Source organism: Homo sapiens, chromosome 8, assembly GCF_000001405.40.
Source record: "Homo sapiens chromosome 8, GRCh38.p14 Primary Assembly".
Lineage (NCBI taxonomy): Eukaryota > Metazoa > Chordata > Mammalia > Primates > Hominidae > Homo > Homo sapiens.
In genome coordinates, this window is record NC_000008.11 from 103617425 (window position 1) to 103642783 (window position 25359).

The 25359-nt window shown below is 36.2% G+C and overlaps 1 protein-coding gene across 47 annotated transcripts in view, besides 2 other annotated features; it reads left to right on the forward strand.

Moving 5' to 3' along the window:
- RIMS2 (regulating synaptic membrane exocytosis 2) overlaps positions 1–25359 on the forward strand; it is a 755485-nt gene that overhangs the window by 116815 nt on the left and 613311 nt on the right. The window lies entirely within an intron of this gene.
- Positions 6371–7134: an enhancer, noted in NCBI's record as "OCT4-NANOG hESC enhancer chr8:104636023-104636786 (GRCh37/hg19 assembly coordinates)". NCBI's record gives its function as "activates a minimal SCP1, AML or CMV promoter by ChIP-STARR-seq in naive and primed H9 embryonic stem cells {active_cell/tissue: H9 hESC(naive and primed)}" and the evidence as "EXISTENCE:reporter gene assay evidence [ECO:0000049][PMID:30033119]".
- Positions 9247–9783: an enhancer, noted in NCBI's record as "OCT4-NANOG hESC enhancer chr8:104638899-104639435 (GRCh37/hg19 assembly coordinates)". NCBI's record gives its function as "activates a minimal SCP1, AML or CMV promoter by ChIP-STARR-seq in primed H9 embryonic stem cells {active_cell/tissue: H9 hESC(primed)}" and the evidence as "EXISTENCE:reporter gene assay evidence [ECO:0000049][PMID:30033119]".

A 25359-nucleotide genomic window follows, 5' to 3' on the forward strand; every position in this document is an offset into this window, starting at 1 on the left:
CAATACCATTCTGGACACAGGAATGGGGAAAGATTCCATGACAAAGATACCAAAAGCAATCTCAACAAAAGCAGAAATTGACATGTGATCTAATTAAACTGAAGAGCTTCTGCACAGCCAAAGAAACTATCAACAGAGTAAACAGACAGCCTATAGAATGGGAGAAAATATTTGCAGAGTGTGCATCTGACGAAGTCTAATATTCATCATCTACAAGGAACTTTAACAAATTTATAAGAGAAAAACAAGCCCATTAAAAAGTGGGCAAAGAACATGATCAGACACTTCTCAAAAGAAGATGTATATGCGGTCAACAGGCATATGAAAAAAATTCAGTATTAGTGATCATTAGAGAAATGTAAATCAAAACCACAATGACATACCACCTCACACCAGTCAGAATGGCTGTTACTGAAAAGTCAAAAAATAGCAGATGCTGGCAGGGTTGCAGGGAAAATGGAAAACTTATAAAGTGTTGGTGGGAGTGTAAATTGGTTCAACCATTGTGGAAAGCAATATGGCAATTCCTCAAAGATTTAATAGCAGAAATACCATTTGACCCAGCAATCCCATAGGAATATAAATCATTTCACTGTAAAGACACAGGTATGCAAATGTTCATTGTAGCATTGTTCTCAATGGCAAAGACCATGGAATCAACCTGAATGCCCATCAGTGACAGACTAGATAAAGAAAATGTGGTACACATACTCCATGGAATATTATGTAGCCATGAAAAATGAAGATCATATCTTTTGCAGGAGCATGGATGGAGCTGGAGGCTAAGTAACACAGGAACAGAAAGCCAAATACCACATATTCTCACTTATAAGAGAAAGCTAAATTATAACTTAATGAACACAAAGAAGGAAACAACAAACACTAGGATCTACTTGAATGGGGAGGGTGGGAGGAGGGAAAGGAGCAGAAAAGATAGCTATTACAGAAACCCTCAGGAAATGGGTTGAGGAAGAACACAGTACAGCATATCATTAATTTGTAAATTGGCAGTACAGCCAGTGTATGCTGGAAAAGACACTAGAGTAGGGACAGGATTCAAAGAAGTTTCCTGAAGCTGGAGAGACCCAGACAGTTGCAAAAAAGGGAGAATCTGGTAGAATGAGAGGAAGGGAATTATTGTGTGAGACCATTTTCAAGGCTGTAATAACTATGACTTTTGTCTATCCATCCCATTTCCCACCCCTCTTCTTCTGATTCCTCTAGAGAAAGTATTCCCTGACTACATGTTTCCTTAGGGGCCTCTCAATGGTAGTATCCTGTCATCTTCACACAGATGAGTACTTCACCCAGATCATTCAGTTCACATGTACTGTCTTCCCAGCTGGGGGACTACTTTAAGAATGAACACATGACTCAAGTGGAGCAAATGAGAGTTTTCTCTGAGGGTAATGCAAGGATATTGGAAGACAAACCTATTTTCACTCGTGGTTGCTAAGCTTGAGAATTCAATTCAGGGATATTGACACCCATCTTGACTACCACATAGAAGGAACTTGTCTGTAGAACAGATAAAGAGAGGCAAAAAGGTAGAGAAATAAAAGTTGCTTGAATGACAATGTTTGAACTTCTAGATCCAGATATGCCTGAAGCCAATCCACTCCTGGATATGCTCCCCTATTACATGAGTCAATAACTTCACTTTTTGCTGAAAAAAAAAAAAAAAAAACCAATATGGAAAACAGTGAGTACTTGAAAAGAGAAAAAGCTCTCAAGTAACAAGAGAACCAAAACCAAGAGATATGGCAAGAAATATATGAAGTAAGAGTATCTTAGAAAAGTATCTTAGTAAAATTTATTAGTGTCTGTTCTGTAAAAACTATTTCAGAAAAAAAACAAAGTTGTATTTTTTAAAAACTAAGCTAAAATTCTAGATGATATCAACATTGTGGTTGAGGGAGAGTAGTTGTACATCAAAGAATCATGAAAATATACTTAAATATTTGTCTTATTAGAGAAATTATGTAGATATTAACATATTTAAGAAGTAAAGATATATAAATAAATATTTGGAATATTGGGGAAATTCCCAATATTTGCATCTGAATTAAGGAAAAATATTCTGAGAACAAAATCAAAATCAAACTTTTAAGCAGCAGAAAAAAATCTTCTGCATTCAAGGTTGGTAAACAGTGGGGAAGAAAAGAAAGAGCAGTAAAATAAATCAGAACTACAAAAAGGAGGCAGGAGAAGAAAACAGATCACATAGAGAAAGACTTCTACTCTCTGTGTAAATGTAAACCTAAATGAAATAACACAGAACAAAGACCAACCATTTTCTCGCTTCCTTCACCTCTACCATCAGTACTCAAAGCTACCACTACTACTGCTTGCACACAGGATTCTCCCTTTAATCCGCATTTTGGCTACTCTACTTTTATAACAGTTCCTAGAAAAGGCTATGTATTTTTCTGCTACAAGATGTATGTACATAGCTGGAAATACTCAAAGGGAAAATATGAACATGTCTATGAAACAAACACATAATTTTCTGTATGATGCCAAATATTTTAACATCTATATACATCTATAAATGGACTTATTTTTGCATTTTACCTATAACAAACAGACTAGTGTTTTAGAAACTATTGCTCCTAAGCTCTAGCTGTCACCACCCTTGCCTATGACAATGAGCCACTATACTTATGAATAATAAGGTAACATTTGTCAAACTGTTGGCTAATAAAGTGGTTGTCAATGAATGCTGAAATAATTTCCATATTAAAAGTAGTCAATAAATGTTACAATAATCTATCCAGGTTGTATACATGGCAACTTTTCAATGTGAAATTGTTTTTCCTCTGACACCAAAGATGTTCCTTCACTGCTAGATGATATTTGCTCAGGGAATACAAGCTTAAATTTTTTTTCTAAGTTAAACATATATATGACAATAAACTCATAATGAAAACTCAACACCAAATTACTTTTAATTCTTGTTTTTTTTCAATATGAACAACTAAATGTTGACCGCATCATTTAAAAGCTATAATTTAAAAAAAAATGCCTAAATTTCTATGACTACTTACTCAAGCTTATCATTATTAGTTTGGGGTGAAAACCTGTTTTTTATCCATCATCTGAGGGAAAAATGAAAGCAACCGATTAATGTAAACAGCTGGAATTCCAAAACATTAATTTTGTGTAAGATAGCTGAGTGCAAAGAGAATGGGCAAAGGAGAATTTAGACAGACCTAGTCCCGATTCTTAGTTACATTGTTTGGTATTCATGTGATCATCAGGAACTTTATTTCATTGAGTTTCTGTTTATAATTAATAAAATTGTGATAATACCAGATAAAGGATATTAAGTGGATTAAATAATTTATGTAGAAAGTGCCTGGCATATAGTGGTTACTCAGTAAATAAGAACACCCTTTTCAAAACTAAATTTTCTTTTCAAAATTTAAAAAATTGTCCTTTTAAGTATTTACTGTGAACATATTATCCTAAGGGAGAAGAATAGGTGGATAGAACAAAGATGTGGGAAGGAAAATTTCACTGCATACTTTTTGTAACTTTTGAACTATGTGACTATATTATATATTTGAAACTAAATAAATGAAATTTAAATAAAAATAATAAAACAGTAAATTGAAAAACATAGCCAAATAAATATTACACATGATGTCCTAATAATTTTATGTGAGTTCCCTGAAAGTAGGGATTATGTCTTATTTATGTTAGAAATGCTTGTTCCTTATTGCCATAAAGAAATAGCACTTGAACATAAATTTAATTTCCTCAGCAAGGCCATTGTTACTTTCTGCAGAAAGGGTACACCCACCAGCAGTTTTGCCACAAGAGTACACTGAACAAAGGAGACAGGGTCATTGATAACCTGACGTGCCCACCCTACTGCTGTGTCTGGTTTCCATTGGCTGGAACGGGACCTCACATTCTGTATTTGTCCCGATTGGTTAGCAACTTAGAACTTTTTAAAAGAGGCAAAGGCAGAGGAGAACAAAGGAAGGAGGAAGTAACTTGTGGAATGCTGAGAAAGGTAAAAACACCTTCAAATAAGGAAGAGGAATAGGCTATGACCTAATGCTTGCTTGGACCAGTATAAGCATGCCAGGGCAAATATTTAGGCTAAACTGTGGGAGCTAAGAACATAAAGTTCATTGATTTCTTTATTACGTCTAGCAGATATTTAAGAATGTTAGCACAGGTCTTTGAATAAATTTTGCTTCTAAGAGAAGTTACTGTTTATTCCTAATTAGATGGAGAGGAAAGTCTTTGAAGAGGAACCTCTGCTTTACTTTTTACATTTATCTCTGGGACCCACAATTTTTGAACAATGCTTGGCACACAGTAAATATTCACAAACATCAGAAGGAATGGATGTAGGAGAAATGGTTGTATTTTTGAGACATTGATGCACATTTTGATCATATATGTATGGTAGCAAAAATAAAACTGAAATTAATTCTCTATTGTTTCTAAGTACCTAAGTGATAGAATATGAGTACAGCAACTTAATTTACTGGGCTATGAGGGTAACCAAAAATAATTGGTTCCAAAATGATATATTTAATGCTTGTGTGTATAAAAATAATCCAAAAATATTGTGATTTGCCATAGTATCATTTTTTAAAATTATCATTAATTTCTAGAGATTTGTAGAGAAAAATACATTTCTAACAATATAAAAATTATTCACAAAGAATAAGGTTATTACCCTTTACAGAAGAGAAGACAAAAGTAAATTATGAAGAAAGAAAAAATACTTTTGCTATAGTGGATTATAAGAATTTATAATTTTAAGTAGAGCAACACATAGAAGGGTATCTATGTCTGATTAAGTGAATACAAACAATGACACATACATTATATTCTGAAATTTTTCAGCATCATCACTATAAGTCATATAAACCTTGAGTCCAGAAGAAATGTGAAGATATTATCTGGAAGATTACCTCTAAGTGTTTTTTTAATGCATAACATTTTAAAAAGACAAACACAAAACACATAAAAATGTTACTAGTATTTCAATGAGAGTGTCAAGATTGTGGGGAATTTTATCTTTCCTGTCTCTATTTTTCAATTTTTTATATAATTAAATATATGTAACATTTTTAAGATGCCATCTGGTTTAAAAAAGAAGTAACCACCCAATATACCCTATGATTATAGCCAGGTCATAGATTCAGCAATCTCATACATACAGATGCACATTCCGTTTTCAAAGTCCTCAAGAAAAGGGATTTGCAATTAGCACCACCTGTTCAACAAGGGTGCTGTGATTCAGTATATCTGCCTTATTTGATAACCTTATATGCTCTCCTATCTTCTCCCCCCTGCTATCAAATGGAGCACCAGCCACAGGCAGTTGGCTAAACAGCCAGGGAAACTGATCTAGTCACTCGGGCATTTGCACATGTCTAAAACTCTTTATGTCCTTTTGTGATAAAATTACTCAAAACATAAAGAAAGGAAGTAGCAGCAATAAATCATGCTGGCATAGCACAGATTATTTATTCTGAACAGGATGGCTGTCAAAGGAACCTGCTGTCACAACATATGAGAGCACTTAAAATAATGAGAATTTCTGAAACAACTTGAAAAGAGTAAAGAAAGACACTAACTGTCTCTGTTTGTTCCATAAGACAGTCTCAAAGAAAATGCAGGTGATGGCAAATTTGATCTGACATATTGAAGGTTAATAAAAAAGCAACATGATCTCCCAATGTGATTTTGCTAGTTTTTATATGAAAGAGTATGGGCTTCTGAGTCAAGCAGACTGAGGTTTTATGCTAGCCCTAACATTCATACCTAGTAAGTTATTTAACCATTTTATTACACATTTGTAAAAATGGGGAGTACAATAGCTACCTCATAGACTGGTAGTTCAGATTAAGTAAAACAATAAATTAAAGTACAGAACACATTTTATTTCTATATAAAATTTTTTATATGTTTGAAATATTTTCTAATGATAAAAATATGTAGTATGTGTGGCAAATAATTGGCTCTCAATAAATGTTGAATCATTTCCTTGGTACAGACATAAAAATTAAACTAGGGTTTCTTCAGTTTTTTTTTTTTTTTTTTTTTTTTGAGACGGAGTCTCGCTCTGTCGCCCAGGCTGGAGTGCAGTGGCGCGATCTCGGCTCACTGCAAGCTCCGCCTCCCGGGTTCACGCCATTCTCCTGCCTCAGCCTCCCGAGTAGCTGGGACTACAGGCGCCCGCCACCACGCCCGGCTAATTTTTTTTTTTGTATTTTTAGTAGAGACGGGGTTTCACCGTGTTAGCCAGGATGGTCTCGATCTCCTGACCTCGTGATCCGCCCGCTTCGGCCTCCCAAAGTGCTGGGATTACAGGCGTGAGCCACCGCGCCCGGTCTCTTCATTTTTTTTTTTTAAAAAGGAAGGAACTAGAGGTCATCAAGTATCAAGTTCAGACCTCTGCCTCTAGGGAGATCTATCACATTAACTAAATATCCTCTGATGACCTTCAGCACAAGGGTACAAGAGAGATTTTTCTCAGTGTCTTAAGAGAAAAGAAATTTAAGAGGGAAAAAATGGTCAATTAAATCCAGAATAGACTAAGTTAATGTTAATTGTAAAAAGAGACTCACTTCTAAGGACCTCTCTAGTTTAAAAGGCTAAAAGCTACAAACCCATAGTAAGCAAAACCCACAAACAAAACCCATTATGATAGTTAATTTGATGTGTCAACTTGACTGGCCAAGGGGGGCCCAGATTAAACATTATCTTGAGGTGTGTCTGTGAATGTGTTTCCAGTTGAGATTAGCATTTGAAAGGCTGAACTCAGTAAAGTGAATTGCCCTGCCAATGTGTGTTGCATTATGCAATCAGTTGAGGGCTTGAAGAAAATAAAAGGCAGAGGAAGGAGGAATTCTCCCCATTTGCTGGCTGCCTGCCTGCTTGCTTAAGCTAGGACATCTCATCTTCTCAGACCCTCGGACTGAGATCTGTACCATCAGCTCCACTAGTTCTCACACCTTCAGACTCTGACTGAGTTACACCACTGATTTCCTAGCTCGCAAATGGCAGACTGTGGGACTTCTTAGCCTCCATAATCATGTGAGCCAATTCCTCCTAATAACTCTCCCTTTATATATATGACAAGGTTTATTATAAGAATTTCTTTTGCTTACTGTCACCGTGAAATTCTTGAGGGAATAATCTAACTTTGCTATACATGTGTATATAGGTAATATTAATAGTGGATATCATTTGCTTGTGGGATTTTATTCTATTTAATACACAAACATTTTTATATGATGACTTACTGTATATCAGGCACTATTCTAAGTATTTACAAATATTAATTCATTTAATCCTCTTACCTCTATATGGTAGGGATTCTTATTATCCTCAATTTAAAAGATAAGTCTTACGAGTGGTTTTCATCTTTATACATATCTGTATTTTCTGATTTTAACCAATGAATATTTACAGATACATACATACATACACACAAAAATAAATAAAATGGTGCACAGAAAATACTAAGCCCCTTTTTGGCAGAAGAATATGGAAGGGTAAAGGAAATAAAGGAAATATGTAAAAACAGCATTTTTACTTTTTAAATAGAATCAGTTTATATCCTGTCAGATTCTTTAATCTAATTAAGTTTTGTTTCTTACTTCAACTGGCTGTCTTTCTTGTTCATCCTGCTACTAACTCATACAGTGTTTTTAGGGGGAAGGAGGTTGGATATGTAAAGGGCTGGGGCAGGGGTGTTTGTTTATTTTGCAGTATAATGCAACCTTTTTTTTTTTATTATACTTTAAGTTCTAGGGTACATGTGCACAAACAAAATTGTCCATCAATAACATTTTTTAAGCACCTACTATATCAGGCACAAAGTTGAGGCACTTAAGGAGTACTGAATAAGGTAGATACTAAGACTTAAAGTATCCTGCCCACAATGAGTTCACATTCTGGTTGAAGAGCTACATTCTAGAACAGAGCACTAAGAAGGCAGAAATAAAAAATGGATTTAATAATAGAACATTTAGCTTTTGTCTTTTTATTCATACAATAGCATAAAATCAAGGATAGGATTCTTTACATTACCTAACGCAGTAACTTAAAGTTTACAAAATGCTTTCCCATGTATTAATTTGTTTAGTCCTCACAACAACATATAAAGGGAGAATTATTTCTAATGATAAAGACCGTTTAACATAGTATGAACCAAAGCTTGAATAGTTTGAATGACATCTCGAGATCACAGTGATAAAGGGTACAATGATGAAAAAAAGCAAAGTGAGTGAAAATTATGTTAATTCAGCAAACATTTAACAGAAATTTATTGAATGCAGGCAGGTCTGACATACTTATAATTTACATCAATGAACTAAATAGTTTGTATTCCTGCTGGCTTTGTAACATTATTCTGCTTTTATGATAGATAGTTGTATACATACATGAATACATTATATAATATATATAAAATGTAGACATACATTTATTATGTGTATGTGTGTATATATTATATATATACACACACTAGTAAATTGTTCATATATTTATCTTTTCTCAATAGGGTATGAACTCCTTGAGAATAGGAAACATGTTTCATTCATCTTTATGACTTCAAGACCTAACACAATACCTGTCACATAATAAGTATGTGATAAATGTTGTAAGTGCATAAGTGAATTATAAATTTCTTTATATTTTACCACTTTAGATGGTACATTATCTGAAACATAGGGATACAGTTTAATTTAAATATATATGTTAACTGTCATGAGAATGTTTCATTCAGATATTTGTATTAACAGAATTGTTGAATGTTGAAAACCTGAGTTTTGATTCATAGATTGAAGATATTCAATTCTTAATAAAGCATGGTTACAAAGCTGTCAACCTCTTCTGTTACCAACTAATTACAATCACTCTCTACTGCCAGTTTTTGTTTGATGTGTATAAAAAATGAATAGGGCAGTCATTGAAGAAGCAATATACTAGCAGCAGTCAAGAAAGAAAAATGTAATAATAATAATAACAAAATATTCCAGACTAACTGCAAAAATATGAACAGCAAACAATTATTACAATAATGTAATGTAGCACACAACATAAAAAACTACAAACAAGTTAAAATTATTCCAAACAGCTGTTGCACATAAAAGTGACACAACTGAATGTTTTCCAGTAATGCATATATTGATCTAATACCATAAAAAATATTGATGTCTATCGGGGGAACCAGCCCCCAATATTTCCACGTAGGTTCTTTCTATTTTCCCTAAATGTCAGCTGGTCTGAGAAATAAAGAGAAAGAGTACAAAGAGAGAAATTTTACAGCTGGGCCTCCGGGGGTGTCATCACATATTGGTAGGACCATGATGGCGACCTTGAGCCGCAAAACCAGCAAGTTTTTTATTAGGGATTTTAAAAGGGGAGGGGGGGTGTACAAACAGGAAGTAGGTCACAAGGATCACATGCTTCAAAGGGCAATAAAGATCCCAAGGCAAGGCAAAATTAGAATTACTGATGAGGGTCTATGTCCCGCTGTGCATGCATTGTCTTGATAAACATCTTAACAGGAAACAGGGTTTTAGAGCAGACAAACAGTCTGACTAGAATTTACCAGGCTGGAATTTCCCAATCCTACTAAGCCTGAGGGTACTGCAGGAGACCAGGGTGTATTTCAGTCCTTATCTCAACTGCATAAGACAGACACTCCCAGAGCGGCCATCTATAGACCTACCCCAGGAATGCATTCCTTCCCCAGGGTTTCAATTATTAATATTCCTTGCTGGGAAAAGAATTCAGCAATATGTCTCCTACTTGCACATCCGTTTATAGGCTCCCTGCAAGAAGAAAAATATGGCTTTATTCTGCCCGACCCCGCAGGCAGTCAGACTTTCTGGTTATCTTCCCTTGTTCCCTGAAAATCACTGTTATTCTGTTCTTTTTCAGGGTGCACTGATTTCATATTGTTCAAACACACATGTTTTACAATCCATTTGTACAATAGTGGTCCTGAGGTGATGTACGTTTTCAGTTTATGAACATAACGTGATTAAGAGATTAAAGACAGGCATAAGAAATTATAAGAGTATTGATTGGGGAAGTGATAAATGTCCATGAAATCTTCACAATTTATGTTCAGAGACTGCAGTAAAGACAGGCATAAGAAATTATAAAAGTATTAATTTGGGGAACTGATAAATGTCCATGAAATCTTCACAATTTATGTTCTTCTGCCTCGGCTCCAGCCGGTCCCTCCATTCAGGGTCCCTGACTTCCCACAACAGATGTCCTTTAAGAGTTCATCAAGAAAGTAAAAAGAGGGATCAGTTTTACAATGGAGAACTACTGACTTAACATGTTATAACATAATGATTGTCAACCCAAAGTAGTAATCAGTTAAGATCATTTTATTTGGTGTAGAAAAAATAATCATTTATACCTTTCTTCATGCTTTAAATTTAGATGAAGCATACTTTGGGTGCTTTTAATTTATGTTAATCTAGTGCCTTTCAAAACCTAAATGCGCCTGCTCCTTTATGTAACTGGGTGGTGAATTTACAACTCTCTTCATGGATTCAGGCTCTCCAGAGTTACTGAACAACTGCATGCATGCTATCTAGACCTCAGACAATTTCACAATCAAGAGTTACCTATAATTAATTTTGTATAATCATTATAATATTAGCAAATTAGGTACTTTATATAAGGCATTGGGGAAAATAAACAGGTGAGGAAACAAAACATTAAGAGAACAAAAAAGAAACTATGGCTGGTTCCAGACAAGTTGGGTATGCACACTCCACTTTATTTTCTCTACTAATTACAATTTTAAAACTCTAGACAAAATTCAAAAAGCAACTAATAGAAGACCTTACAAGAGAAAGAAAATAAAGTGGACTGGATAGGAACTTCAAGAGAAAACCCCTGGGAGTGAGTGGGAGTGAGATCCCTGTTTTTTTTTTTTTTTTGAATCAGAATTTCACTCCTGTTGCCCAGGCCTGGAGTACAATGGCACGATCTCAGCTCACCACAACCTCCGCCTCCCGGTTTCAGGCAATTTTCCTGCCTTAGCCTCCTGAGTAGCTGGGATTACAGGCATGTGCCACCATGGCTGGCTAATTTTGTATTTTTAGAAGAGACGGGGTTTCTCCATGTTGGTCAGGCTGGTCTCGAACTCCTGACCTCAGGTGATCTGCCCACCTTGGCGTCCCATGGCTTGGACTCCCAAAGTACTGTGATTACAGGTGTGAGCCACTGTGGCTGGCCCTTGGGGTTTTTTGTTTTGCCCTCTCTATACCCCAACATGGGCACTAAAGAAACCCACAACCGAGAAACATCAACAGACCCATATTAAAAAAAAAAAAAAAAAAGGTCCCAAGGAAAGCCTGCTGTCTCTAGCTAAAGGACCAGAAAAAGGACAGCCAACAGAACAAAAACATTTTGATTATACTTGCCTGCTCCAGGAAAATAGCATGAAAAGAGATAGACTCCTTCCCCTCCCCATGGAGCACTGCAGCTACCCAGATTGTGAGCAGAGGTCTGTCCACCAACCACAGCCTGAAAAACAAAGCAGCAACCTCTCCATACCTGTGGGAATTGTGGTAAGAGCCCTTTTATCCTTGCCCTGCAATAGTGAGAGAGGCCCCTGTTCCCAGATGCAGGCTCTCAGCAGAAACTATATTGCATCCTTGCCCTTCAGTAATGAGATAGTACCCCTTTGCCCCTACCCTGCACCTGACTCAACTGGGTGCTGCAGCCAACAGATTGTGGATAGACCCTCTCCTCCATCCCCATGATGCAATAATGAGCCAGAATACCATATCCTCTCAATTAGAGAGCTGAAGGAGGATTACTGAGAGGGTTAGAGGGAAGAATTTTTATAATCTGCATATGAAGTCCTGGACAGATCCCTGAACAGACAATGCATGAAGCTGACCAAAATCAAAACAGCAAACGCTTTAAGAACTCAGCAGTGGTATAGAATAACTCCCGGATTTTAGATTGACTTCGGGATAACACATAAGTGGGGCAGACCAGAAGCATGTTGGAAAGGCTTTGAGAACTAAACTGACATTTGAACTGCAGCCCACAAAAATAAGCTAAGAAATGTATATGCAACCTAACAGGAAGTAAAAAAATAGGAAGAAGGGTGTCATAAAATAATATGTAAAAGGTACAGGATACCATTTAAAACTACTTGTCATATTGAGAACTAGGAAAATTTCAATTCCAATGAAAAAATACAATTAACATATGCCAACACTAAGATGATATAGATGATGATTAATTCCAAATATTTTAAAGCAGTTATCATTAAAAGGCTATCACTTTAGAAGTAAAAAATGCAATAACCAAAACAAAAACCACACTAGATGAGCTCAATAGCAGGACAAGATGAAATAGGAAATAAACTATAAACTTGAAACCTGAGTAATACCAATTTTAAAATCTGATGAACAGAAAAAACAAATTAACAAATGAACCATCTTGGATACTCTGGCAGTACAAAGGAAGGCAGGGAGAGGGGGAGTAAAATACCTAACATATGTGTCCTCAGAGTCCCAGAAAAAAAGAACAGTACAAAACTAAAAAAAAAATTTTAAGAAATATGAGCAAAAGCTTCACAAATTGGGGGAAAGTCATAAACATACAGATTCAAGAAACTGAGTGAACCAATATCAGGCCAAACCAAAAGAAATTCAGGCTGAGACACATCATAATCAAATTTCTGAAAACTGAAGACAAAAAAAAAAAAAAAATCTTGAAAGCAGCTAGAAAGAAATGATGCCTAACATAGGAGTAATAATAGTTTGACTAGAAGAACAATAGCAGATTTTTTTGAATGATAGCAGATTTCTCATCAAAACCCATAAAGACTGGAAGTAAATGGTTACATTTTTTGAAATGCTGTAACAAAAGTACTATAAATTCAAAATCTTAAATCTAGCAAAAATATCCTTCAAGAGTTAAGGTGAAATGCAAAGCATTCTCAGATGAAGGAAATCTAAGAACATTTGTCACCACAGGCTTACTCTAAAAGAATGAATAAAGGCAGTTTTAGAAACAGATAGATAGGAAATAATAGGAGAATCACTAGAACCAGGGAGGCAAAGGTTGCAATGAGCCGAGATCGTCCCATTGCACTCTAGCCTGGGCAACAAGAGCAAAACTCCATCTCAAAAAAAAAAAAAAAAAAAAAGAAACAAAGATGTCTACATGCTACTTACAGTAGTAAGATGTTGAAAGACTATGATAAGTCACACACACACAAACACACACACATATTCCTAGAAAACTATGAAAAGAGATGTGCCAAAAACAGTATAGATAAAATAAAATGAAATACTAGAATATTAAAATATGCTGCAGTAACCCACAAAAGAACAGGAAAAAAGGAACCAAAAAAAGAAAAACAGTGAGAACAGGTGGAACACAGCCCAAAATATCATTCTAATGAGCAGTGAATTGAGCTATTTTTTTTATTTTAATATGCTTGTTGGCTGCACATATGTCTTCTTTTGAGAAGTGTCTGTTCATGTTCTCTGCCCACTTTTTAATGGGCTTGCCTGTTTTTCTCTTGTAAATTTGGTTAAGTTACTTGTAGATGTTGGATATTAGATCTTTGTCAGATGCATAGTTCACAAATATTTTCTCCCATTCTGTAGGTTGTCTGTTTACTCTGTTGATAGTTTCTTTTGCTGTGCAGAAACTGTTAAGTTTAATTAGATCCCATTTGTCAATTTTTGCTTTTGTTGCAATTCCTTTGGTGTCTTTGCCATGAAATCTTTGCCTGTTCCTATGTCCAGGATGGTATTGCCTCGGTTTTCTTCCAGGGTTTTTATAATTTTGGGTTTTATATTTAAGTCTTTAATCCATCTTGAGTTGATTGTTGTATACAGTGTAAGGAAGGGGTAAGGAAGGGGTCCTGCTTCAATCTTCTGCTTATGGCTAGCCAGTTAACCCAGTATCATTTATTGCGTAGAGATTCTTTTCCACATTGCTTATTTTTGTACGTTTTGTTGAAGATCAGATGGCTGTAGATGTGCAGCCTTATTTCTGGGCTCACTATTCTGTTTCATTGGTCTATGTGCTAGTTTTTGTACCAGTACCGAGCTGTTTGGTCACTGTAGCCTTGTAGTATAGTTCAAAGTCAGGTAATGTGATGCCACTGGCTTTTTTCTCTTCACCTAGGATTGCCTTGGCTATTTGGCCTCTTTTTTGGTTCCATGTGAATTTTAAAATAGATTGTTCTAGTTCTGTGAAGAATGTCATTAGTAGTTTGATAAAAATAGCACTGAATCTAGATTGCTTTGGGTAGTATGGGCATTTTAATGATACTGATTCTTCCTATCCATGAACATGGGATGATTTTACACTTGTTTTTGTCTTCTCTGATTTCGTTGAGCAGTGTTTTGTAATTCTCCTTGTAGAGACCTTTTACCTTCCTGGTTAGCTGTATTCTTAGGTATTTTATTCTGTTTGTGGCTGCTCTGAATTAAACTGTTCTTGACTTGGCTCTCAGCTTGGACATTGTTGGTGTATAAAAATACTGTTGACTTTTGTATGTTGATTTGGTGTCCTAAAACTTTGCTGAAGTTGTTTGCTAGATCTGAGCTTTTGTGTAGAGACTATGGGGTTTTCTAGGTGTGGAATAATATAGTTGGCAAATGGAGATAGTTTGACCTCATCTTCTTCTATTTATATGCATTTTATTTCTTTCTCTTGCCTGATTTCTGTAGCTAGGACTTGCAGTACTGTGTTCAATAGGAGTAGTGAGAGAGGGCATCCTTGTCTTGTGTCAGTTTTCAAGGGGAATGCTTCCAGCTTTTGCTCATTCAGTATAATGTTGGCTGTGGGTTTGTCATAGATGACTCTTATTATTTTAAGGTGTGCTCCTTCATTTCCTAGTAGAGTTTTTAACATGAAAGAATGTTGAATTTTATCAAAAGCCTTTTCTACCTCTATTGAGATAATCATGTGTTTTTTTGTCTTCAGTTCAGCTTATGTGATGAATCATATTTATTGATTGCTTTTTTGAGGCGGAGTCTTGCTCTTTCGCCCAGGATGGAGTGAGGTGGTGTGATCTCGGCTCACTGCAGCCTCTGCCACCCGGGTTCAAGCGATTCTCCTGCCTCAGCCTCCTGAGTAGCTGGGCTTACAGGCACCTGCCACCATGCCCAGCTAATTTTTGTATTTTTGGTAGAGACAGGTTTTTACTATGTTGGCCAGGCTGGTCTGGAACTCCTGACCTCAGGTGACCTGCCCACCTTGGCCTCCCAGAGTGCTGGGATTGTAGGCATGAGCCACTGCGCCCGGCCATATTTATTGATTTTTTTTTTTTTTTTTTTTTTTTTGAGATGGAGTATCGCTCTGTAGCCCAGGCTGGAGTGGCGCAATCTCGGCTCACTGCAAGCTCCGCCTCCTGGGTTCACGCCATTCTCCTGCCTCAGCCTTCCGAGTAGCTGGGACTACAGGCACCCGCCACCATGCCGGGCTAATTTTTTGTATTTTTAGTAGAGATGGGGTTTCACTATGTTAACCAGGATGATCTCTATCTCCTGACCCTGTGATCCGCCCACCTTGGCCTCCCAAAGTGCTAGGATTACAGGTGTGAGCCTCCGCGCCAGGCCTTTTTTTTTTTTGAGATGGAGTCTTGCTGTGTCACCCAGGCTGGAGTGCAGTGGTGCAATCTCGGCTCACTGCAACCTCCATCTCCTGAGTTCAGGCAATTCTCCTGCCTCAGCCTCCTGAGTAGCCGGGACTACAGGCATGTGCCACCACGCCCGGCTATTTTTTTTTTTTTTTTGTATTTTTTTGTATTTTTAGTATAGATGGGTTTTCACCATGTTGGCCAGGCTGGTCTCAAACTCCTGACCTCAGATGATCCACCTGCCTCGATTTCCCAAAGTGCTGGGATTACAGGTGTGAGCCACCATGCCCATCCTGATTTTTATGTGTTGAACCAAACTTGCATCCTGGGGATGAAGCCTACTTGATCATGGTGGATTAGCTTTTTGTTGTGCTGCTGGATTCAGTTTGCAAGTATTTTGCTGATTTTTATATCATGTTCATCAACAATTTTGGCCTGAAGTTTTCTTTTTCTCTTGTCTCTTCCAGGTTTTGGTATCAAGATGATGCTGGCCTCACAAAATGAATTGGGAGGTGTCTTCCCCCCTCAGTTATTTCATATAGTTTCTGTAGGAATGGTACTATGTCTTTGGACATCTAGTAGAATTTCACTGTGAATCCATCAGGTCTTGGGCATTTTTTGATTTTCAGGCTATTTATTACTGACTCAATTTTGGAGCTCATTATTGGTCCATTCGGGGAATCAGTTTCTTCCTGGCTCTGTCTTGGAAGGGTGTATGTGTCCAGGAATTTATCCATCTCTTCTGAGTTATTTTGTTTGTGTGCGTAGAGGTTTTTGTAGTAGTTTCTGATGGTTGTTCCTATTTCTGTGGCATCAGTAGTAACATTCCCTTCATCATTTCTAATTGTTTTTATTTGGATGTTCTCTTTTCTTTATTAGTCTAGTTAGTGGCCTATTAATTTTTTCAAAAAATCAACTGCTGGATTTGTTGATCTTTTGAATAATTTTTCGTGTCTTGATTTCCCTCAATTCAGCTCCGATTTTTGTTATTTCTCATCTTCTGCTAGCTTTGGGGTTGATTTGTTCTTGCTTCTCTAATTTTGATTCAGTTGTGAAGCTAGGTTGTTAATTTGAGATCTTTCTTACTTTTGATGTAGGTTTTTAGTGCTGTGAATTTCCCTCTTAACACTGCCTTAGTTTTGTCCCAAAGACTCTGGTAAGTTGTATCTTTGTTTTCATTATTTTCAAAGAACTTCTTGATTTCTGCCTTAATTTCGTTATTTACTCAAAAGTCATTCAGGAGCATTTTGTTTAATTTCCATGTAATTGTATTGTTTCGAGCGACTTTCATTGTGTTGACTTGTATTTTTATTGTTCTATGACCTGACAGTGTGTTTGGTGTGATTTCAGTTCTTTTACATTTGTTGAGGATTATTTTATGTTTAATTATGTGGTTGATTTTAGAGTATGTTCCATGTAGTGAGGAAAAGAATGTATATTCTGTTGTTTTTGAGTGAAAACTTCTGTAAAGGTTTATCAGATCCATTTGGTACAATGCTGAGTTCGGGTTCTGAATATCTTTGTTAGTTTTCTTGTCAGTGATCTGTCTAATTCTGTCAGTGGAGTGTTGAAATCTCCCACTGTTATTGTTTGATAGTCTATGTCTCTGTAATTCTCTAGGAACTTGCTTTATGAATCTGGTTGCTCCTGTGTTGGGTGCATACGTATTTACAATAGTTAGGTCTTCTTGTTGAATTGAACTCTTTACCGTTATGTAATTCCCTTCCTTGTCTTTTTTGATTTTTGTTGTCTTGAAATCTGTTCTGTCTGAAATGAGGATTGTCAACCCTGCTTTTTTTTTCTGTTTTTCATTTGCTTGGTAGATTTTTCTTCATCCCTTTATTCTGAGCCTATGAGTGTCATTATGTGTGAGATGGGCCTCTTGAAGACACCATACCATTGGGTCTTTTTTATCCAGCTTGCTACTCTATGCTGTTTAAGTGGGGCATTTAGCCCATTTACATTCAAGGTTAGTATTGCTATATGTGGATTTGATCCTGTCATTGTGCTGTTGGTTGATTATTATGTTGGCCTGTTTGTATGGTTATTATGTTGGCTTGTTTGTGTGTTATTATGTTGCTTGTTTGTGTGGCTTGTTTTACAGTAACAGTGGTCTTTGTGTTTATGTTTGTTTTTGTATTAGGTGGTAGTGGTCTTTCTTTTCTATATTAGTGCTTCTTTCAAGATGTCTTGTGAGGCAGGTTTGGTGGTAAGGAAGTTTCTTAACATTTTCTTATCTGAAAAGACAGAGAGGCTTTCAGTTGTCCCTGGAGGCTCTGTCCAGGGAGTTGCTGAGTTGGTACTGACTGGATCCATAGCTCTGGTGGGGTGTGGTTGGAGGCCCAGGCCTGGATGACCCACCCAGTGAGGAGATATGGGAATGGGCACCGACATAACACTCTGGCCACTTTTCCATAGGGCTGCTTCAGTATGCTTGGTGCCCTTTCTAGTCCCTAGTCACCTCGGATCTTCCAGAACCTGGAGGTGTCACCAGTGAAGGCTGTGAAACAGCGAAGGTAACAGCCTGTTCCTCCCTCTGGGAGCTTTGTCACAGGGAGGTACTGACCCCTTATTGTCCCAAAGACACCTGCAGGAAGTGGCTGGAGACCCCAGTTAGGAGGTCCTGCCCAGTGAGGAGGAGCAGGATCAGTACCTGCTTAAGAAAGAAGTTTGGCCACATTTTGGCGGAGCAGCTGAGCTGTGCTGGGGTTCCACCTCAGCCCCCAGTCATGTCACGCACTCTGAAGCCTAAAGGCTGGAATGGCTAAGTTGTCCAAACAGCAAAGATGGCAGCCTACCCCTTCCTCTAGGAGCACTGTACTAGGGGGAATTTAGATCTCTTTTGGCTGGAGAGCTTGGGCAGGGGGTAGTTGGAGGCCTTAGTTGGGAGGTCTTGCCCAGTGAGGAGAAACAGGATCAGGTACTCCCTTAAAGCAGCAGTCTGGCCTCATTTTGGTAGGGCAGCTGTGCTGTGCTGGTGGATCCCTTCTACTCCAGGTCAGCTCACACTCTCCAAAGTGTAAAGGCTGGAACGGCTAAGATGCCTTAACAGCAAAGATGGTGGTATGCCCCACTGCCTGGGAGCTCCTTCTTAGGTAGGTGCAATGCTGCTACTGGTAGCTGGCTGGAATTTCAAGCCAGTGGGTTTTATCTTGTGAGGTGCTGTGGAAGTGGGGCCTGCGGGCTGTTGCTGCTCAGTGCCCTGGAGTCAGTCTCTTTCCTAGGGGTGTGCACAGAAGTCTAACCTCCCAGTTTGCTGGAACTGCAGCTACTTTTGTCAGAAATTGTAAGTATCTATCACTCTGGGGTGTCTATGCATGCCAGAGCAGCTGCTCTGCCGAGACTCCATGTAGCTCTTTTTGTCAGACTGAAGGCCCTGGTTGAGTGGGTTCACAAGGAGATCTCCTAACTGAAGGTTGTATAGATCTGTGGGAGAAACATGGTTTCTCCCCTGGGAAGGGTCACTCATTCACTCACTGCTTCTTTGTGCAGGGGAGAATCCCCTGGGTCTGTGTTGCTCCCAGGTGGGCCGTTGTCCTGTCTTGCTTTTCTTCATTCTCTTTGGGTCAGGTTGTTTTCCTGATTAATTTCAGTGCAAGTACCTGGATGTTATCGTCGAAGGTGTTGCTATTTATTTGGCCCTTCCTTTCCTTTCCTTGAGAGCCATGCGTACTAGCTGCTTCTAGTTGGCAATCTTGGCCACTCCCTTGCTTTTTTTCTATAACCCACCCCCGCACCCCCCCCCCCCCACACACACACACATACCAATCTGCGTTTTGGGGAGGCACAGCCTTCAAGAAAAATGAAAGTGTGCTCTTTAAAGAACAAAAGGAATGTTTGGCTCACATAAGGAAAGTTCTCACCCAAGTTCTCAATCAGATCTATTTATGCAAACGAAGGATTCAAGCTTGTTTAGTTCTGATTGGCCAAGATAGTTGAGCCCTTGATTGGGTGGCTTCCTAAGACCCAAACTAGAAGGCTCTCTGAGATGTTTCTTCTAAAGGGCTAGTGGTGGGTCATTTCTTGCCAGTTTTTCTTGGCTTTTGTCACAGGAACTGTTCTGGCTTACGGGCATAAAGTAGGATGTTTATCCAGATTTGCCTTTCTATGAACAAAAGGCAAGTAAACACTCTTCTTTCACTCCACCATGGCCACTTTGTTCTGTAGTCTCAATTTTGGTATTTCTTCTATTAGTCATGGTGAGTCCATCTAGTCTGGAGTGCTTGGAGTCTCATTTACAGTTTAATTTCACACTAATGTGTTAAGAATTTTTGCATCTGTGTTCATTAAGGATATGAGTAACTTTCTTTTCTTGAATTTACTTTTTCTAGTTTTGTTATCAGAGTAATAATGCTGGCTTCACAAACTGATTTGGAATGTGTTCTATTTTTTGAAAATGAATGTGATTTTTATGAAAGATAAGTACTTGTGAAAGATAAGTATTACTTATTTTTAAAAATGTTTTATAGAATTCACCATTGAAGCCATGTGGGCCTGGAGTTTTTTGTGGGAAGGTTTTTTGTTTTGTTTTAACTTTTCATTTTGAAATAATTTTAAATTTTTAGGAGAGTTGCAAAGATGGTTCAGAGAGTTCCTGTATCTTGTTCACCTAGGTTTCTGCAGTCAACAATTTACACAATTACAGTGTATTTATCAAAACAAAGAAAACAGGATTGGTACAATACTATTAAATAACTGTAGGATTTATTCAAATCTTACCATATATTTTACTGACTTTCTTTTCCAGGATTCAATCTAGGATAAGTGCATTTAATTTCATGTCTCCTTAGTCTCTTCCAATTTGTGACAGTTTCTCACTCTTTCCTTGTTTTCATGATTTTGATACTTGTGAAGAATACTGGTGAAAGTTGTGAAAACAGAAAAAGAGTGTTCCCTAATTTCAATTTTTGTAGACGTTCCTCAGTTTGGGTTTGTTTTGATTTTTCCCCTGATTCAACTGGGGTTTTGAAGTTATTGGAAGAATACCACAGTGGTATCACATCATATCAGGGGGTTAATTTTGATCGTATAGTTAGAGTTGTGTCTCTCAGCTTTCTCCACTGTAAAGTTATAATTGTTTCTTTTTTATTTTCTATTGGTTGCAAGTGGGTCACTAATTTCAGTCCCTATTTGAGGGGAGAGGAATTAAGCTCCACCACTTGAAGAAAGGGTATAAAATAATTTTTAGACATCAAAACCACAGTAATTAATAAATATTTCACAGGAGATACTTGAGGCTATGCAAATATTGCTTCTCCTTTAAGCTTTGATTTCTAATGTTAGCATATATCAGTGGATCTTACCTGCAACAGTTACTACTGTGATGCTCTAATGATGACTTTCTATTTTCTTCATACCTTTCATGTTTCTTATTTGGCACTCTTCTGTAAGGGAAATATGCGCCGTCTTCTCTAATTATTTATTTATTTATCTATATCAGTATGGATTAATGGATATTTATTTCTTGAGGGAGCATTATAATCCATATGGGGTTTTTGTTCGTCCTCAAATAGTTCCAGCTTTGGCCATTGGGAACTCTTTCAGGTTGATTTTGTGTCTTTTGACATACTCCATGTTTTTATGTTTTTGAACAATTTCTCATTTTCTGGCATTACAAGATAATCTAGGTTAACTTTGTATTTTTTTCTGTCTACCTGGAAAATTAGCCATTTCTCAAAATATCTTTGATTGGAGGATGGTATTTAGAAACAAAGATCTTTGTACCAGATGGGCTCACTGCAATTGGGATGTCACTGTTTCTAGGCTCTCTCAGCAAACAAAATGAGGAAATACTTGTATATATAAACTTGTGTAGACACACATATCTATATTTATTTCTCGACCTCTATTTATTTATTCATCTATCATCTATCTTTAAAATATGTAAATTTGCGTGATTTTGTACTGATATGTCTGTCTCTAAATTTAGCACTGCTGGCAGGGTTCATTCTAGCCTCCTCTCTTTGTTTATTTGTATTCTGTGGCAGTTACTTGCTCATGTTCAACCCCAGTATAAATGTAGAATAGTTTCACAAATGCTAACTTGTATAGTATGGAAACAAACTTACCAGAGTACAATGCTTATGTATTGTTATTTTTTGTCTTTGGTATTACAGTTATCTAGTTAAAATATCCTTTCCTAATGTTCTTTAGGACACCTCCTTTATTCCTGACTCTCTTGTAACTAACTAGGTTATATTGTACCTTTTAAATACAATTTGATCAATTTGTCACACTTTGTATTCCTTCCAGGGATTTAAAAAAAAAGTTTGCAAACATTAACATTTAATGTTTGTGATGCATAATTCCATGGGTTTTGACAAACATGTAATTATCCAGCAACACTATAGAATAGTTTCAACACTCTAAAAATTTCCTTGTGTGACTTTTGTAGTTAATACTTCCCTCTTTCATTGACCAGTTAGCCACTACTCTGTTTTCTTTATCTATAGTTTTGCCTTTCCCAGAATGTCATATAAATTGAATCAAACCTTATGTAGCTTTTTAGTTCTCAATTCTTCCTCTTAGCAAAATACATTTGATATTTAGTCATGCTGTTCATATCAGTAGTTTATTTCTTTTTATTGCTGAGTAGTATTCTCTTGTATGGATTTAACCATAGTTTGTTTATTCATTCACCTCTTAACATCTTGGTTATTTTCAGTTTTCTGAGATTATGAATAAAACTGCTAGAAACATTGATGTATAGGTTTTTGTGTGAACATAAGTTTTCATTCTATTTGACTACATACCTAGAAAGTGGGATTGCTAGGTCTTTTGCCTTTTAATATAAACTTTGAGTCATTGTTGATATGCACAAAATAACTTGATGAGATTTTGGTTGGGATTGCCATGTTTCTATAGATCAAATCATAAGAACTGACATCTTAAAAAATGTTGAGTCTTTCTATTCATGAACATGACATACTTCCGTATTTATTTAAATTTTCTTATATTTATTTCGTCAGAGTTTTGTAGTTTTCCTTTTATAGATTTGGTATGTATTTGTTTGGTTTATGTATGATTCAATTTTTAAAATAGACATAGACCTCTCCTTTTGTAAGCATTGGTACATTGTTTCTTTCAAGGAAATGGTCCATTTCATCAAAATTATCAAATTTGGGATAGTTGTTCTTACTATTTTTTAAATCTTTTTAATGTCATGTGATCAGAAGTGATGGACTGTCTTTCATTTTTTATATTAGTAATTTGTGTCTTTTCTTTTTTCCTTGATTAGCCTAGCTAGGAATTTATCAATTTATTGGTCTTTTCAAAGAGGTGGCTTTTGGTATTGTTGATTTTGTCTATTGATGCCCGGTTTTCAAGTTCATTGATTTTTAACTTTTATTATTTATTTTTCTCTGCTTAGATTTTATTTTCTTTTTCTAGTTTACTAAGGTAGAAGCTTTATTAATTGTAGATATGTCTTACAATATATGCATTAAAATGCTAGAAATTTTCATCTAAGCACTGGTTTAGCTGCATCTCACAAGTTTTGATAGGTTGTATTTTCACTTTCATTTAGTTAAGCATATTTTTAATCTATTTTGAGACTTGACTCACATATTTTTAGAAGCATATGGTTTAATTTCCAGATATTTTGAGATTTTTCACTATAGTTGTGCTGTTAATTTATAATTTAGTTCCTCTGTGAACTCAGAGCATATTTTGAATGATTTGTATTCTTTTAAATTTATTAAAGGGTGTTTCATGGCCTAGAATGTGGTCTGTCTTGGTGTATGTTCCCTGGGTGCTTGAGAAGAATGTGTATTATGCTGTTGTTGGATGAAGCATTATAAAATGTTCATTAGATCAATTTTATTTATGCTGTTCATTTCAACTACATCTTCACTGATTTTCTGCCAACTGTATATGTCAATTATTGATAGCTGTGTAAAGAGCATCTGTAACAGTGGATTAATCTCTTAATGGTTGCAGATGTATCAATTTTTGCCTCCTGTATTTTGACACTTTGTTGTTATGCACACACACATTAAGGATTGTTATGTTTTCTTGGAGGAATTCATCCTTTTATTATTATGAAATACTTTGATTTTTCTCTGATAATTTTCCTTGCTCTAAAGTTGGCTTTGTTTGAAATTAATGTGGATACTCTAGCTTTTGTTTATATTTAAAACAGGTTTCTTGTAGAGACAATACATTGCTTGGTGTTATTTATTTATTCAATTTCTTATTGATACATAATAGATATACAAATTTTAGAGGTGTATGTAATGATTTAATACATTAATATATTTTGTAAGATTAAATCAGTGTCATTGGGATGCTCATCACCTTAAATATTTGTCTTTTCTTTATGTGAGAAACATTTGAGTTATTCTTTTCTATTTTGAAATATACAATAGATTATTGTAAACTATTATTACTGTACTGATCTATCAAACACTAGGTCATATTTCTTGTCTAACTGTATGTATGTACCTATCAACCAACCTCTCTTAATTCCCCAATCTCGTGATGCTATAGCTTGGGTATTGTTTGTTTGTCCCTACCAAATTGCATGTGAAAACTTGGTCCCTAGTATGGTAGTGTTGGGAAGTAGAGCCTAATGTGAGGTGTTTAGGTCATGGAGGTGTATCCCTCATAAGTAGATTAATGCCATTCTTGGGGGTGGAGGGTAAGTGAATTCTCATCTTGTTCGTTCTCATGAGTGTTGGTTGTTAAAAAGAGCCTGGCATCTCCTCCCCTTTTTCTTGTGTCCTCTCTTTCCATGTGATCTCTGCATGGCACCCCTTCATCTTCCACCATGAGTGGAAGCAACTTGAGGCCCTCATCTGATGCAGATGCTGTTGCCATGCTTTTTAGAAAGTCTGCAGAACTATAAGCCAAATAAACGTTTGTTCTTTATAAATTACCCAGCCTAATGTATTCCTTTATAGCAACACAAATGGACTAAGACATTGTGTCTTTTTGTTTTCATCCATTCTGATATTCTCTGCTTTTTAATTGGCATATTTAGACCATTCACGTTTAAGGTGACTATTTTTAGTTGAATTCATGGTTACTGTGTTTGTAACTGTGTTGCATTTATTGTACTTGTTTTATTTCTTATTTTATCTTCTAATTTTTCTCTCTCTTCTTTTGCTTTATTTTAGCATTTTATACAATTCTATTTTCTCTCTTAGCATATCAATTGTACTTCCTTTTAAAATTTTATTTTGGTGGTTGCTTAAGAGATTGAAGTGTTTATTTACAATGAATCCAAGTCCATTTCAAAATCTCACTGTACAACTTCACAAATGATGTAAACCTGGTAACAGATTATTCACAATTCCTTTCTTCTGTACCTTATAACATCACTGTAATTTATTTCACTTATCCATAAAATATCACAGAATACAGTATTGCTACAGTTCCACATTTGAGAAACTGATAGATTAAGAATAAGAAAAATAAAAGGTTTTATTTTATCCTTATTTTTTCCTTCCCTAATGCTATTCCTTTTATTAAATGTACATCAGAATTTCTGACCTATGTAATTTTCTTGTCTCTGAAGGAAATGAAAAACTTCTTTTTAATATTCCTTGCAAGGCAGATCTGTTGACAAATTTTTATAATTTTTGTTTGTTTGAGAAAATATTTCTTTCTCTTTCACTTTTGAAGGATAATTTGACTGAGTGTAGACCTATAGGTTGGTTGGTTTCTTTATTCAACACTTTAGATATTTCATTCTACCTTTTTCTTTTTTTTATGAACAGAAGTCTGATGTA